Consider the following 15,073-nt stretch of genomic DNA (forward strand, 5'->3'; position numbering starts at 1 on the left):
TTAAAGCATATAAAATGGAGTACTGAGAATGACATGACAGAATTCAGTGTAAGGATTTTGGAGTAGTAGAAGCAGGAGGTTTAGCTTAGAAAGTGGTAGCGTAGGTGTTAGATTATGAAGGGCCTTTTATATCATACCAGGTAGTTTGTACCTTACCATTATGAGCCACTGGAATTTATTTTAGGCAGACGATTGATATCATGTTATTTACAAAATTAACTAGTAGGATTAATATGTTATTTACAAGATTAACTGGTAATTTCTACTATAAATTTTGTCTTACTGTAAGATACTGTCTTCAACTACTAGGGTTTGAGGGGAGGGAAAGGACTTGACATAAATTGGAGAGACTCCTAGGATAGAATAGATAGACCTATAAGACTTATGCAATATTGCAGTAAGAAGTAGAGGGAAGAATCAATTCTTTCTGTAGTATCTGCCTTTGGAAACCATTGGATGTTGGTGTTATATGAGAAAGGAAGGTTAGGTGTAGTATCAAACCCAAGGAAGAAGATAATGAGTTCCAGCCTGAGTGTGGTCGATTTCATATACCTTGAGGATAGCCAGGTGGAGTTAATGAGTGAGCATCTGTCTATAAAACTTAAAAGAGTAGTGTAGGTCTCAGATATGTGTCTTAGTTAACCAATTCTAAGATGCACATTTTGTCACACTTGACGTCCCTGGAAACAGATTGTGGCTTATAATTAATGGCCTCCCAAAATCCTTTTTGGAAAAGCAGCAGTTTTGGATGTTCTTATTGTTGTATCAATTGAATTTTGTGCAATATTAATAATTCATGTGTTGATTGGAGGAATAAACAACTTCATATTTTATTGCAACAATTGCTTTATGAGAGTTAAAAAGGGAAATAGTCACAACTAAATGAAGCTGCATTAAGTGCCAAAGGATTGCTGTCATATGCAAAGCATTGAAATTGATGGCACCAGAAGAAATTGCCATATTCATGGGAGTAAAGAAATTTCAAAGGAATGAGAGGCTGATGTGTCCATTTCATGTGTTACACGGGACTGTTGTTAAGGCAGTGTATCATAGTTTAATTGGAAGTGTTTTTTTCTTTTTTAGAGATTTATAAAAGTATGGTGCTGCTTACAACTTCCATGAAAAGAATCATTGGCATATAGGTAGTAGTTGAAGACATGGGAATGGAGGAAACATCTAGGGGAACAAAGAATGAAGTGAGGTCTCTGTGAATAGGATCTGGTATAGATTCTGGTGTGTGTGTATTTTCCATTTAGCAGTAGAGGCAGAATGCATACCTGCTCTGACTGCTAAATGCATGCATTTCTTGATCTCCATCAGCTTTTGCTCCAAAATTTGGCAGTGACCTTTTTACTTTCCTAAGCCAAAGAATAGTAGCGCCAAAGAATAGTAGCACCAAAGTGTTACTAGTGAGAACTATGTGTTCTCACCATGTTAGAACATGGTGTTCCAAGGAATTTAATCCTGCCTCTGGAAGTGATGTATGCAGGTAAGCCAAGGAAATGCTCTATATAAAAATAGAGGAAGACCCCCCCCCAAAAAAAAATCATTAGTAATGTTATATGCTAATGAGGCACCAGATCAAGAAAAAAGCAGAAAAACATCAAGTGTGAGCAAAATAGGAATATTGCACTTCCTTTAGTCTTTTTCCACAAAAATCTTTTCCCCCCAATCTTCTTTTATTTTTCTCTTATAGTAAATTTCCTTTCAAAAATTGCAAGTACTATGTGTCTTCCATAAATAAATAATTCAGACAAATACAAACTTTATTACTTTCTCTTATTTTCTTTAAGTATTCATTTAAGACTTTTTTGTTAAATGCCTACAGATTATTCATTGTTGTTTAAGGTGCTAGGGATATAATGGCAAACATGGTAGTTCTTTGCTCTCATACTTGTATTCTAAGAGGCGAGGCAGACAAAAGTTTTTTCAAGTAGTGACATTTTCTAAAAAGAAAGAAAACATAGTTCCACTGTAGAAGCAGCAGCCTTGGATAGGGCATTTAAGGATGGATTTTCAAAACATACGATACTCTGGGCCAGGCGCTGTGGCTGACGCCTGTAATCCCAGCACTTTGGGAGGCCAAGGTGGGCAGATCACGAGGTCAGGAGATCGAGACCATCCTGGCTAACATGGTGAAACCCCGTCTCTACCAAAAAAATACAAAAAATTAGCCAGGCGGGCTGGCAGGTTCCTGTAGTCCCAGCTACTCAGGAATCTGAAGCAGGAGAATGGCATGAACCTAGGAGGCGGAGCTTGCAGTGAGCCGAGATCATGCCACTGCACTCCAGCCTGGGCAACAGAGAGACTCCATCTCAAAAAAAAAAAAAAAAAAGATATGATACTCAAGCTGAGATCTGAAAGAGTTAGCTGTGGAAAGGTTGACAGAAGAACATGTACAAAGGGTCTGAGGTGGAAACAATTCTGATGTCCTCTAGGAACAGAAGGAAGGACATCGGTAGGAGAGAAGATAGCCATGGAACAGGTTGTGTAGGACAGTGTAAGCTTTAATTCCCACCCCTTTTCTCCAGTTAACCAGTGTTACTGATATGGTTTGGCTCTGTGTCCCCACCCAAATCTCATCTCGAATTGTAATCTCCATGTGTTGAGGGAGGGACCCGTAATCCCTATGTGTTTAGAGAAGGTGGTGATTGGCTCATGAGGGCAGTTTCTCCCATGCTGTTCTCATGATAGTGAGTTCTCACGAGATCCAATGGTTTTTATAAGTATTTGACAGTTCCTCCTTCATACACTCACACTCTCTCATGCCGCCTTGTGAAGAAGGTGCCTGCTTCCCCTTCCGCCATGAATGTGAATTTCCTGAGGCCTCCCAGCCATGTGGAACTGTGAGTCAATTAAACCTCCTTTGTTTACAGATTACCTATTCCAGGGTAATATCTTTATAGCAGTGTGAGAAGGAACGGACTAATACAGTTACTGATAACAGTTTGTAACATTGAGTTACAAGCTACTGTTAGGCCTTCTCAGACTTACATTATATCTCATGAATCTTTATTTAAGTTATGTTGCAAAGCCCACCCACATTAGCATCTTCTGTTTACAGTCAAACTTTTAAGATGCTTTGCACACCACATTTATTTTCTCATCTTGTTGTCACAAAATGTCTTTTTTTCCCCCCTTAGAAACAGGGTTTTGTTCTGTCACCCGGGCTTGAGTGCAGTGGCACAGTCATAGCTCACTGCAGCCTTGAACTCCTGGGCTCAAGGGATCCTCTCACAGCCTCCCAAGTAGCTAGGACTATAGGCATATACTACCATGCCAGACTAATTTTTTATTTTTAAAGACAGGGTCTCACTGTGTTGCCCAGTCTGGTCTCTACTTCCTGGGCTCAAGCCATCCTACTGCCTAAGGCTCCCAAGTAGTTGGGATTATAGGTGCAACCACCACACCTGGTGAAATCTCTATTTTGATATTATAGTCATTTGGTTAGAGTTTATCTTCCATTATTTTCATCAAATACATTTGGGTGCTATACTTCTGGATCTTTGCAAGTCCAAAAATGTCTTCATTTTGCCCTATACCTATCTTAACTGGGTGTCAATTTCTTAATTTCTTCTTAATAGTTAGTAAATTGTTTGTCTTCTAGTGTTATAGGTGAGAAATTTGATGTTAGTCTTTTCTTGTAAGAAACTTGTTCTTTCTGTATGACAATGTGTAAAATTCTTTTCTTGTCCTCAAAATTTAGGATTTCCAGTAGAATGTACTTTCTTTTTTCTTCCTAAAATATTTCTCCTTATAATGAAGTAAGCTCTTGAAATCTGCACTTAAGCCTTTAACTCAAAAATTTTCTTCTAGTATTTATTTAATTACATCTCCATTTGTTTCTTTTTCTCCTTTTGGAACTTTAAAACTACCAGTAATTTCTTTTTCTCCTCTTGGAACTTTAAAACTACGTAAAATTTTACACTACAGTTTCAAAGTCTTATACGTTCCTTATGATTGCCATTTTCTTTGTGTTTTTGCTCTGTGTTATAAGCAGTAGGACAAAAATTGACCTATTGCAGCAACTTCAGCCTTTTTGACTGATTCACGGTAATAAATATATTTTACATAGCAACCCAGTTCACACACAGCTAATCAAAACAAAATGTCATGACATAATATTTATCCTAACTATAGGTGATGCACTCTATTTTTCTAGTTTATTCTATCTTTTTATTCTATTTTATTTTTAAAAAAAAAGATGGTAGTTTTTAAATACTAAATCAGTGGTTCTCAACCAAGGCAACTTTGTTTCCCAGGGAACATTTGGCAGTATCTGGAGATATTTGATTGTCACAACTAAGGAGGATGCTACTGGCATCTAGTGGGTAAGAGGCCAGAGATGCTGCTAAACATTCTACAATGCACAGAACAGTCCCCCACAACAAATTACCTGGCCAAATGTCAATGCTGCGAAGGTTGAGAAGCACTACACTATAAATTTATTTCATTACTCCTCAGTGTAATGATTCTCTACTCTGACTGTACATTCATAAGAATCACATGGGGAGATTGATTTCATAACTCAGATTAACTGGTGACTAGTAGTTTTTAAATGTTTCATTCTTCAGTGTTTTAAAAATATGTACCTATGTACCTATCGTATATGGCTATGACAAACATTCAGTCCTAATTTTATGTGGTAGTGGTGTTTTTTTGAGTAAAAGCTAGTGGTTAATCTGATAGTTCAGCAGTATAATTTTTGCACCTTTATTCAGCTTTCCAGTTAAACTATAAGTTAAAAAAATTCTTTTGTTAGGTTATCCTGTGTTTTTGAATGTTGTTGAAAATGAGGTAAATTTAACTAGGTTACCAGATATTATTTCAGGTAAGAATTTCCAGTAACATAAGGTTATTATATAAACTGTAATATTATATCTCCTATAAATTATATTTTAAAGTCCAGAATAAGCACCATTCCCAGGTAGTTTGAGCACAGCAGATTTCTTATGATACTGCGTTCTTGTAAGCCCATGTTTCTACGCAGTGATAGAAGTAAGATTATACTTCTTTAGACCACATAGACGAGGTCATACTTCGTAGGTCAGTCTTGTTACAAATAGAAGAGTCTAGCATGGAATCAGAGTAGTTTGCAAAGTTGAGCCTTTGGGTTTCTAGAATTGGAGGAGGAGACCTTCAGTTATAGAAGGGGTTAATTACAAATTGTATACGGATTTGAAGATCTGTGACGTTCCTTCCAAATCTAAATGTGCTTTTCTCTTGTCTGCCAACAGGTACAACTGTAACTGCTTTAAGATTATTTAAGAATCTACCTGTAAGAAAGCAGTTTTACTCAACTGCAAAAAAATGTAAAGATGAAATAAAAAAGATCCAAGATCTCCTCATGAGCTTTGGTATCCTTAAACCTGACTTAAGGATTGTCTTTGTACATAACAAGGTAAACATTATTTTATCTTTATAAGTTTCTGGGTATATGATATAATAAACAATGTATACTTTATAAATCAGTTAGATATGGGCTATGACTAAATGTTTGTGTGCCCTCACAAAATTTATTTGTTGAAAACCTAACCACCATGTGATGTTATTAGGGCATGGGGCCTTTGAGGAGTGAAATTCATGCTCTTAAAATAAAGGAGACCTCAGAGGGCTGCCTTCCTTCTTCTGCCATGTGAGGAGGCCACTACATAGTCAGAGGCACCACCTATGAACCAGAAAGTGGGACCTCACTAGATACCAAGTCATCTGGTACCTTGATCTTGGACTTACTCAGCCTCCAAAATTGTGAAAAATAAATTTCTATTGTTTATAAGCCACCTAGTTTATGGTATTTTGCTATAGCAGCCCAAAGACAACATGTAAAGAGTCTTTTTTTCAAAATGTTAGTCCACATTTATCTAGTTTTATCTTTATTACATAAAGAGTGTCTTTAATTTGTTGCCTAATATCTATATGATCTGATTGAACTTTTCATTTCTTAATCTCTGAAATCAGGGATTCCCCCAGCAGACGTTTTTCATCTAAGAAATGGCTTGAGTGCTTCCTTTTATCGGGTGCTGTGATAGATTCTCAAAATATGAAAATGAGTAAGACTGGTTCTTTTCCTTTAAAGACTTCACAATTTAGTGACATTTTTCACCCTCTACACTGTTGATTCTTTGGAAGAGTGTGTGTGTCAGGAGGATACAAGTGTAATTTTGTTACATGGATATGTTGTGTAGTGGCGAAGTCAGAGCTTTTAGTATATCCATCACCAGAATAACATACCTTTTACCTTTTAAATAATTTGTCATCATCCACCCTCCTCCCTCTCTACCTTTGTGAGTCTCCATTGTCTATCATTCCACACTCTATGTCCATACATGTGGTTTAGCTTCCACTTATAAGTGAAAACATGCAGTATTTGTCTTTTTCTGAGTTTCACTTAAGATAATGACTTCCATTTCCATCCTTGTTGCTGCAAAAGATGTGATTTCATTCTTTTTTATGGTTGAATAGTATTCCACTGTGTATACATACACATTTTCTTTATCCATTTATATGTTGATGGCACTTAAGTTGATTCTGTATCTTTACTATTGTGAATAATGCTGTGATAAACATATGAGCACAGGCGTCCTTCTGGTATAATGATTTCCTTTGGGTAGATACCCAGTAGGGAGATTACTTGGTCAAATAGTAGCTCTATTTTTAGTTTTTTTAGAACTAAAAATACTGTTTTCCATAGAGGTTATACTAATTTACATTCCCATCAGCAGTGAGTAAATGTTCCCTTTTCTCTGCATCCTCACCAACATCTGTTATTTTTCATCCTTTTAATCATAGCCATTCTGACTAAGGCAAGATGATATCTCATTGTGGTTTAATTTGCATTTTTCTAGTGATTAGTAATGTTGAGCATTTTTTCATATGCTTGCTGGCCTTTTGTCTTCTTTTGAGGAATGTCAATTCATGTCCTTTGCCCACTTTTTAATGGGATTATTTGTTTTTGTTTTTTGAGCTTCTTATACCTTCTGGATGTTATCTCTGTTGGATGCAGAGTTTGCAAATATTTTCTCCTATTCTGCAGGCTGTCTGTTCACTCTGTTGATTGTTTCTTTTGCTGTGCAGAAGCTTTTGAGTTTAAGGAAAACTCCAGCTTTCTTTCCATTTTTCAAAGCGCCGATAAGAGAAGGTAGTCATCTTGTTGCTTGGTGAATCTTAAAGGAAAGAAAGGTTTATATATTTTCTAATTATTCTGTTTATCTAATGAAATTTCACATGGGTATCCTGCAGGAAAGCAAACTACACAGCAATGTGGAAACCTGATGGGAAATAGGGAATTAACATCTATTGAGGGCCTACACAATGCCAGGACCTGTGCTAGGTGTATTAGTTTTCTGTAATCCTCACAGCAACAACCAAGTGATGTAGGGATTATATCAGTTTTGCAGTTGTTCTCTGAATGGAATTCAGATAGGTTTAATACTTTGCTCATTGTTGTGCGACTAGTAAATTGAGATGGGATTTGAAACTTAACATGCCTTCAGAGTGCTTTGCTCTCTACCATGCTCTCTTCCTTTTTTTTTTCTTTCCTTTTTTGAGAGGGTCTCGTTCTGTCACCCAGGCTGGAGTGCAGTGGCACGATCACAGCTCACTGCAGCCTTAGGCTCAAGCAATCCCTTCCACCTCAGCCTCCTGAGTAGCTGGGGCTACACATGTGTACCACCATGCCTGGCTCATTTTTAATTTTTTTTGTAGGGATATGGGGGGTCTCCCTATGTTGCCTGGGCTGGTCTCAAACTTCTGAGCTTTCAAGCAATGCACCCTCTTCAAGCAATACACGCTCCCAAAGTGCTGGGATTACAGGTGTGTGAGCTACTATGCCTGGCCCTTTTTCCTATTTTAATACTACTTTATATTTATATAGTTTTTTCCCATGTTTCAGAACAGTTACAATAACTTTGTGAGATAGAAAGCATTATCTCTGTTTATATGGGGGAACTTAAAGCTCAGAGCAACTAATGGAATTGTTTTATATTTTACAGTAATAGTGCTGAGGTCAGAACCCTTTTTGATCCAGTTTTCTTATTGTCAGGAAGATTCTTTATTAAAGCTATGGTAGAATGTTTTTGATCAAAATCTTTGATCATTTAAAATAAGAATAGCAACCTGTTCTTGTTGGCATAGAGCTCAACCAAATGATACCTTGAGATCCTTTCCAGTGCCACCGTGCTATGATTCCTTAGGATGTTGATGGATGGAGGCTCATCCTATTAATAAAAATAACCCTATGACCTCTGGATCCAGAGGATATTTAGTAATAAAAAGTTTGTCCCTAAATTAAAAAAAGACCAACATCAGAAGGAACATAATAATTAGGAAGGAAAAATAGATGAAAAAGGTAAAATATAAAGAGAAATAGGAATTATATATTTGTAAAAGAAAAGTGGGCTGGGCGCAGTGGCTCACACCTGTAATCCCAGCACTTTGGGAGGCTGAGGTGAGTGGATCACGAGGTCAGGAGATCGAGACTATCCTGGCTAACACGGTGAAACCCTGTCTCTACTAAAAATACAAAAATGAACCAGGCATGGTGGCATGCGCCTGTAGTCCCAGCTACTCAGGAGGCTGAGGCAGGAGAATCACTTAAACCCGGGAAGCAGGGAGGTTGCCGTGAGCCGAGATTGCGCCACTGCACTCCAGCCTGGGCTACAGAGGGAGACTCCGTCTCAAAAAAAAAAAAAAAGAAAGAAAAGTGAGTGGAAGAGAAATCTTTCGAGTTAGAAAATATAATAAGTGAAGGCTGGGTCCGGTGGCTCACACCTGTAATCCCAGCACCTTGGGAGGCCGAGGTGGGTGGATCACCTGAGGTCAGGAGTTGGAGACCAGCCTGGCCGACATGGTGAAACCCCATCTCTACTAAAAGTACAAAAATTAGACGGGTGTGGTGGCAGATGCCTGTAATCCCAGCTACTTGTGAGGCTAAGACAGGAGAATCTCTTGAACCTAGGAGGCAGAGGTTGCAGTGAGCCGAGATCGCACCACTGCACTCCAGCCTGGGCGACAGAGTGAGAATCTATCTCCAAAACATAAATAAATAAATAATAGGTAAAAACAAGATTATTACTTCACGTGATAAAAATGAATATATTAGAAATATTTGAAATGACAGAGTTCTTATTTCAAGTCAAATATGTATCTTCTAAGTTTTTTTGAGAGGTTTATATCATTTTCCCAACCAATGTAAGATTATCAATGTGGGTATTTTCTTTAGAAATTGGAAAGCAGGCGCCCCGCCACTCGCTCTCCGGGCGGGGCGGGTGGCGCCTCGGGCCTCCACCTCCCCCTGCCTGCGCGTGTCCTGCGTGAGAGGGCAGAGGCAGGGTGGAGGCGTTGGCACGGGACATGTGGGCCGCGGTTGCCGACTGTGGCGCGGGCAGTGGAGGAGGAGGCGGGGCTGGCGCTGAAGTCGGATCCGGATCCGTTGCTGTGCACCCTGGTCGGGGAGAGTCCGATGCGCCTGGGTAGGAGCACCGACTGCGGGGCCTCTACCGACCTTACTAGAAAGATGAAACCTGATGAAACTCTTATGTTTGACCCAAGTCTACTCGAAGAAGTGGACTGGAGGCAGAATACAGCTACATTTTCTCCAGCCATTTCCCCAACACATCCTGGAGAAGGCTTGATTTTGTGGCCTCTTTGTACTGCTGACTTAAATAGAGGGTTTTTTTTTAAGGTATTGGGTCAGCTGATCGAGACTGGAGTTGTCAGCCCTGAACAGTTTATGAAATCTTTTGAGTATATGAAGAAATCTGGGGATTATGTTACAGTTGTAGAAGATGTGACTCTAGGACAGATTGTTGCTACAGCAACTCTGATAATAGAACATAAATTCATCCATTCCTGTGCTAAGAGAGTAAGAGTAGAAGATGTTGTCGTTAGTGATGAATGCAGAGGAAAGCAGCTCGGCTAATTGTTAGTATCAACCCTTACTTTGCTAAGCAAGAAACTGAACTGTTACAAGATTACCCTTGAATGTCTACCACAAAATGTTGGTTTCTATAAAAAGTTTGGATATACTGTATCTGAAGAAAACTACATGTGTCTGTTTCTAGAGTAAAAATCTTATAAGAAAATTGTCAAAGGAGCTAATGCTACAAGGCTCCACTCTTCCTAGAGTTAAAATATTTTGTTGCTGCAGCAGAGTGACCTCCATAAATAGTAGACTGAGAAAACATTGTAATACTACAAGTATAATGACATCTACGAGATTACTTTGGGCTGGTGGGAAATGCTGTGAATTTAGATTACAAATGAATATTATAAAGGGGATTTTTTTCATCTCTTTTTTCTTTTTTTATTTTATTTTACATAATTCATGTCTTGATCTCTAAAACTAGGCAGTCACCTTTAAAACTTTGGATCTTTAAAAACAAATACCCCGTTACTCCTAAAATTTAACTGAAAAAACTCACAGATTTGGGTTTTTTTGTTTTGTTTTTTTGTTTTGTTTTGCTTTCTGCTTAGATTTTATTTTTATTTTTTTAATTTATTTTTATTATTGTACTTTAACTTCCAGGGTACATGTGCACAATGTGCAAGTTTGTTACATATGTATACATGTGCCATGTTGGTGTGCTGCACCCATTAACTTGTCATTTACATTAGGAATATCTCCTAATGCTATCCCTCCCCCTTCCTCCCACCCCCTCAACAGGCCCCGGTGTGTGATGTTCCCCACCCTGTGTCCAAGTGTTTTCATTGTTCGATTAAGGGGATGATTTTTAACCAAGGGAATATATTTTAAACTTGAATCTTTTCTTGCATTGTATTTTTCCAAAAGTTTGGCTTCATTTCTTGGTAGTTAAGAGTATGGGTAATAAGGAGTTATATGTCTGCCGTGTTGCTCATTTAAAAAAAGTATTTATTGAATAAGGCTGTTTTTTATCACAGGCATAAAATTTAATCTTTTTGTTTCAAAGAAACATCTCAGTACACTTAGGGGTGTATCGTTTCCCACATATAAAGTATTTATTGAATAAGGCTGTTTTTTATCACAGGCATAAAATTTAATCTTTTTGTTTCAAAGAAACATCTCAGTACACTTAGGGGTGTATCGTTTCCCACATATAAAGTCAGGCTGGATAAATTAGTTATTATAACTAAACACAGTGTAGTCCAACATTTGTTGATCCCAATACAGGCAAATAACCTGGTCAGCCTTTTAAAGAAGTAGAAGAAATGAAAATTATTTGACAAGATTAAAAGTAAAACAATTTAAATGTTTTACTAAAAGTTTATATAGGTCTATGTAGATAAAAAGTACCACTTGTCTTATCTGTGAATTATAACTGTTCCTTTGTTAAAAACACCTAAGAGCAATTATGGTGGGACATCTAAGGTACTTTTTAAACAGTGAATTAGCAAACCTCAGCATATGTGTTTCTACCTTGATTTTTTTCTTTTCATGGGTATCTGAAGCCTCCCTTCTGAGTAACAGGTTTTTCAAAAATGGAGTATCACAAAATTGAGTGAAATACAATACTGAAACAATACTTAAAAATATATTGTACCAGATTTGTCAAATTCATAAAATGTTGATGGAAGCTTTACTTTTTAGTGTGATTATAATGGCACTATTCTGGTCATTATCCTGTTTTTATTTTATTTATTTTAATTATTTTTTAAAGTTGAAGAATTAAATAGTTTAATGGTTCTAATTTTTTGCATTCCATGTTACATTAAACCTGTTCATATGATGAGTAATTTTCTGTTAGGAAATAAAAGAAATTGGAAAGCAGTATTTATAGTGTACTACATTTTATTATTTTCGGAGGACACTGTATCAGAACTTATATTTAGCAAACACAAGTTCCTCTATAGCCTTCAGTAATTTCAGATGCAGTTCAAATCCTGGAGAGTATGTTGAAATGATTATACTGTGAAAGTAATATAAAGTTTTTAAAAGTCTTTTTGTAAAATTAAGTATTAGCTATTATAGAGAGAAATCATGGACTGAATTAGAACAAGCTATTTATGTTCAAGCTTTTTTCTCATAGTAGATTTTTTTATTTTTATATTTCTTAATAGTGCTGTTGCACCTTTAAAATGTTAAAATATATTGTTAAACCTCCCAAAATAGCAATGACATGTTACTATAAATCTCTTTGAACATTGAGTCCTACTTTGCTCTTAGCCTTTTTCTTTTAAGCATGCCTACTTTCATCATTCTATATGTACTTTTTTGTAAAGAATTTTTTTGTCTGCTTAGAATTTAAACCTGACGATATTGTTGTCTTTATTTTTTTTCTGCATTAGAGACAAACAATCATATTGCGCATAATACGAGAAGTACTATTGCTATTTTGATAACTTGGATTAGATAGTGTTCTTTCTTTTTATGAAGGTTTAACCTGCCAAGACATTCTTTGAATACTGATAATGTTGATGTTCTTGCCAGTATGGTTATGTTAGAAAGAGGTATTTTTCTTCTTTCATCACCATGTTCCTTGAAAGCATAGTGAATAATGACACAGCCAAAGGGAAATAATTTACAAGTGGATTCAGTGAGTTTATTTAAAGTAGATATTATTTGGAGAACTGCTAGAGCCATTCCTTAGATGAGCACTACAGAAGCTTTAGTTGTAATAACTGAATCCCTGTGAGGTCCTACTGTAAATATTTTTATTTATAAAGTAGTTATTTTGCAGAATTAACAGTTTTTTCTCAATATTATAGTATCTGAAACCACTTTAGTATTCTTAGCTATTTCATATGACAATGCATAATTTCCTAGACCACTAGTTCAGAACATAATGTGAAATGTATGATTTCAAATAAGGGCTACTCCTATATACATTATAATTGCTGATTTGTGTGTGTACTTGCTTTTCCAAAAATATTATTTGTGGTTTTAAGAATTGTTTTGATTGAATTTTGTTTTGATAATTAGAGGCCCACTGGTATTGCAAAAGCTGAATTGGATGTCATTGATAAAAGAAGGTTTTAACTGTTACGAAAGAGAGACATGAATTAAAGAATGTTTTCCTTCCTATTCCCACTTCTATATCACATGAGCATTAAGGCTTATTGAGATGTTGGTTTTCAGTGTTGTCTTTGTTTTTGTTGTTGTTGTTGTTTCTTTGTATGTTTTGTGCTCTGTAAGAATGATGTCAGCTCCGAAGTGTTGAATATCTCTGAATTCAGTTAATCTGGGAAGATGCAGGCCCTTAACCAGGAACAGAGACCCAAAAAACTGGCCGTGGAGATTTGGCAGTGAGTGGTGGCTGAAGATTTGGTTTATAAGATGAAGATAAATAAGTGATGCCCTATAATATATATCCCCTGCACTCATGATATTCTCCATGGTCATTTTATCCTTCTCTAACCTTTTACGTGATCATCTTGAATGTCCCAGGTTTGTTTCGCCTGTGCTATGGGGAATCAAAGAAAAGTCTTTTGCCGCATTTGGACCAATGTTAAGGGTCAGTTCCCCTCCCGCAATCCCAGCCAGGAATGTGGAGTCAGTATAATCAGAGAGAGGTTCTAATTCAGGAGTGTGGCTCAAATGCCCCTTCCTTAGGAATGAATTATTCCAGTGCCAATCTGGAAAGTTTGGGTGTGTTTTGTTTTTGTTTCTTTTTTAATTAAAGAAGGCGGACATCTTTTCAGATATATTTTAAGATTAGCTTGGGGCTGATTATCAATATGGTTTGGTTTGGGGTCTTTTTTTTTTTTTTGCTACTTACAAATTAATGATTACTAAATTTATTAAATGGTTTTCATGTGTTCCTCTTTTGTTAAGGATTACTTTTCACCTAAATTTTGTGAAATATAGAAAAGATGAAAGACATATAAGTCAAGTTTTAGTGTAGTTTTATGTTTGTAAGCACTATTAGGAGTCTCTGAAGTCTTCCATTATCCCTCAGTAGGACATTATTCCTCAACTGCTCTCATTTTGTTTTCCACGTATTTCTGTTATGTCATTTTGCTTCAGTGGCAGTGATTTGCATTCTTTCTTTCCTATTTGACAGCCTTTTATAGGAGGGAGGGCTGCATCTAGTTCATCTATATTCCCCTTAATAGTGAGTGCATAGTACAGGATGGAATATTAAATTAATTAGGTAGTGTTAAAGCCAAAATAGTAAGTGTATGAAACACTAGTTTTAAACACTCTGGCCTCTCTCAGACCTTATTCATAATATTTATTAATAAAATTCATTCTTTTGAATTCCTTGGTGACCTCTTATGTATTTAGGGAGTATATTTTCACTTGTATTCACATATACAATTCTAGTCCATTGCCCTTCCTGGAAGCTAAGTCACTGATACATCTTCTTTAGAACTAATAAAGAATCATATAAAGACTGCATGGATGGGGCAGTTGAGGGGAAACACTTGATGGACAGTCTCTAAGAGCTGTCAATTTAATGTATTTTGTTGCTATTAACAGTCAAATAGAACAACATAATTGTTCCTTTACTGATCCTCTAACCACATACATTTTATATACTTATTATTAACCCAAACACACATTTCTCTATTCCAACACTGTAGATTTCTCTTCCAAACAATAATACCCAGAGAATCCTGTACAAATGTAGCTTTTTGAGATTAGGCCAATGAAAGTCAATGACATGATCTCTAAGGCCCTTTTTAACTCTAAAACTCTTTGATTTTTAAGGATGTTTACATATGTATATCTTGAGCACTTCATTTCTTTCTTAGAAAATTGGAATTTCACATTTTTACTTAGAAGTTCTACTGAGTTCATATATGAAATCATAAAATAATAAAAGGTAGAAAGTTCTGCAATAAACATGGTTATGCAGATCTCTTTGACATACTGATTTTCAACCTAAATGCCCATCAAATGATGAATGGATAAAGAAAATATCATGTGTATCCACTGTATATACAACAGAATGCCATTTAGCCATAAAACAGACTGAAATCCTGTCGTTTGCAGCAATATGGATGATCTCGGAGGACATTATGTTAAGTGAAGTGAGCCAGGCACAGAGAGACAAATACCACATGATCTCACTTATATGTGGAATCTAAGAAAGTTGATTTCATAGAAATAGAGAGCAGAATAGTTGTTACCAGAAGCTGGGGAGGGGAGGGA

At 36.5% G+C, this 15,073-nt stretch overlaps 1 protein-coding gene and 1 pseudogene across 22 annotated transcripts in view; both read left to right on the forward strand.

The window, feature by feature from the left end:
- Positions 1-15,073, forward strand: part of PMS1 (PMS1 homolog 1, mismatch repair system component) — a 93,180-nt gene that overhangs the window by 28,330 nt on the left and 49,777 nt on the right. For 21 of the 22 annotated variants that reach the window (NR_110332.2, NM_001321047.2, XM_017004348.2 and 18 more), the window contains one exon: positions 5,238-5,401. Coding sequence is in view for 21 of the 22 variants with exons in the window: in NM_001321047.2 (NP_001307976.1) it covers positions 5,238-5,401 (164 nt within the window). In the remaining variant the exon portion in view is untranslated. Of the gene's footprint in view, positions 1-5,237; positions 5,402-9,350; positions 9,922-15,073 lie in introns of those variants that run through there. The other variant, XM_006712596.2, reaches the window with a different exon arrangement.
- On the forward strand, positions 9,322-10,321 carry GNPNAT1P1 (GNPNAT1 pseudogene 1; annotated as a pseudogene).

The sequence above is a fragment of the Homo sapiens genome, chromosome 2 (genome assembly GCF_000001405.40).
Source record: "Homo sapiens chromosome 2, GRCh38.p14 Primary Assembly".
Taxonomy (NCBI): domain Eukaryota; kingdom Metazoa; phylum Chordata; class Mammalia; order Primates; family Hominidae; genus Homo; species Homo sapiens.